The 1,918-nt window shown below is 50.7% G+C and overlaps 2 annotated features.

Annotated features, from left to right (window-relative positions):
• Positions 589–1,090: an enhancer, noted in NCBI's record as "H3K4me1 hESC enhancer chrX:117428183-117428684 (GRCh37/hg19 assembly coordinates)". NCBI's record gives its function as "activates a minimal SCP1, AML or CMV promoter by ChIP-STARR-seq in primed H9 embryonic stem cells {active_cell/tissue: H9 hESC(primed)}" and the evidence as "EXISTENCE:reporter gene assay evidence [ECO:0000049][PMID:30033119]".
• Positions 1,091–1,590: an enhancer, noted in NCBI's record as "H3K4me1 hESC enhancer chrX:117428685-117429184 (GRCh37/hg19 assembly coordinates)". NCBI's record gives its function as "activates a minimal SCP1, AML or CMV promoter by ChIP-STARR-seq in primed H9 embryonic stem cells {active_cell/tissue: H9 hESC(primed)}" and the evidence as "EXISTENCE:reporter gene assay evidence [ECO:0000049][PMID:30033119]".

Consider the following 1,918-nt stretch of genomic DNA (forward strand, 5'->3'; position numbering starts at 1 on the left):
GTTAATCCTAGGGGTTGCAGAAGGATGGAGGTCCGTCTTCTGTAACTTCTTCATGCTAAATAGGGGCGATGATACTCCTGCCTACCTATTAGGTTCTCTTGTATTCAGGGTAGAGAGGAGTTCACTCAGAAAGTATTCATCCGTTAAGCATCTATAGGTAAAACCCTGGCACTCCAGCAGTTTTGTGTCTGGAATTGGTGGGTTCTCGGTCTCGCTGACTTCAAGAAGGAAGCCGTGGACCCTTGCGGTGAGTGTTACAATTCTTAAAGATGGTGTGTCCGGAGTTTGTTCCTTCTGATGTTCGGACGTGTCTGGAGTTTCTTCCTACTGGTGGGTTCGTGGTCTCACTGACTTCAGGAGTGAAGCTGCAGACCTTCGCGGTGAGTGTTACAGCTCTTAAAGGTGGCACGTCTGGAGTTATTCGTTCCTCCCAGTGGGTTCATGGTCTCGCTGGCCTCAGGAGTGAAGCTGCAGACCTTCGTGGTGAGTGTTACAGCTCATAAAGGTGGCAAGGACCCAAAGAGTGAGCAGCAGCAAGATTTATTGCGAAGAGCAAAAGAACAAAGCTTCCACAGTATGGAAGGGGACCTGAGCAGGTTGCCGCTGCTGGCTTTGGTGGCCTGCTTTTATTTCCTTATCTGCCCCACCCACATCCTGCTGATTGGTCCATTTTACAGAGCGCTGATTGGTCCATTTTGACAGAGTGCTGATTGGTGCGTTTGCAATCCTTTAGCTAGACAGAAAAGTTCTCCAAGTCCCCGCCCATCCCAGAAGCCCAGCTGGCTTCACCTCTCACTGGCACTCACCACGGGACTTTGCGGCACCTAGCCTGGGCACTCCAGCAGCCCAGAGGGAGCTCATCCCAGACAATCAGGAGGAAAAGAAGGGAAGCGAGAAAGAGACAGAGACCTCCTATCGTGGCCAACGATCCCGTGAAGAGGGAATGGTGGTCCATGCACAGGATTCAGCCTCCAATCAAGCCAGGCACCACTCACCTGGGACCCGTGCCAGCCTGCAAGTGCCGTGTGCAGCCTGGCTCCCACCCACACCTCTCTCTTCACACTTCCCCGCGAGCAGAGGGAGCTGGCTCCAGCCTCGGCCAGCCCCAGAGAGGGGCCCTCATAGCGCAGCTGTGGGCTGAAGGGCTCCTCGAGTGCAACCAGAGCAGACGCCGAGGCTGAGGAGGGACCGAGAGCAAGCGAGGGCTGCTAGCACATTGTCACCTCTCAGTTTCTCACAGCGTGGCTTGTATTGGGGGAACCCGGTCCATGATTGGGATCCATGGGTCCTTCCAGTCTCATGTTCCATGGTCATACACATCTTGAGGGCACCTACACGGTTTGTTCATCTCCTGCAAAAACACAAGCATACCCTCACCCCCAGTTAGTAAATCTACTGAAACAGAAGCAAAAACTTTTGTGGCTGTAGCCAAGAGGCCTGCCATTGCTGAAGCATTTGTAACTCACCTTCTGCCTCTTTGGTTAATTACCGTGGGGTAAAACTTACTGTTGATAACGAGAAGCAGGCCCCTTCTAACAGAAGGCACAGAGAAAGCAAATCGAGGCCTGAAAGCAATCCTTAAACCTTCAATTTGCACTGTACAGGTGGGTCCACTAGATGCTATGGTTCATGATAGATCTTCAGATGTTTGGTGGGCACCCACACAGGCACCTGATCCTCACCTGGAGAGACACAAGCAAATCCTCTTCCCCATAAAATTATCTGTCCTTTTTCCCAGCTCTTTGTATGTACATCCCTCCACCATGTATCTTGTCCAGCCTTTTTATTTTCCTTTTGTCCCGTCAGGTGTTGTTCAGCTGCAGTCATGGTTTGATCTTTTTGTACATTTAAAAAAATTAATGTTAATAAAGCTAAATGCAAATGATATGTGGTTTTTTATATTCCTGGTCCCCTCCCT

The sequence above is a fragment of the Homo sapiens genome, chromosome X, assembly GCF_000001405.40.
Source record: "Homo sapiens chromosome X, GRCh38.p14 Primary Assembly".
Lineage (NCBI taxonomy): Eukaryota > Metazoa > Chordata > Mammalia > Primates > Hominidae > Homo > Homo sapiens.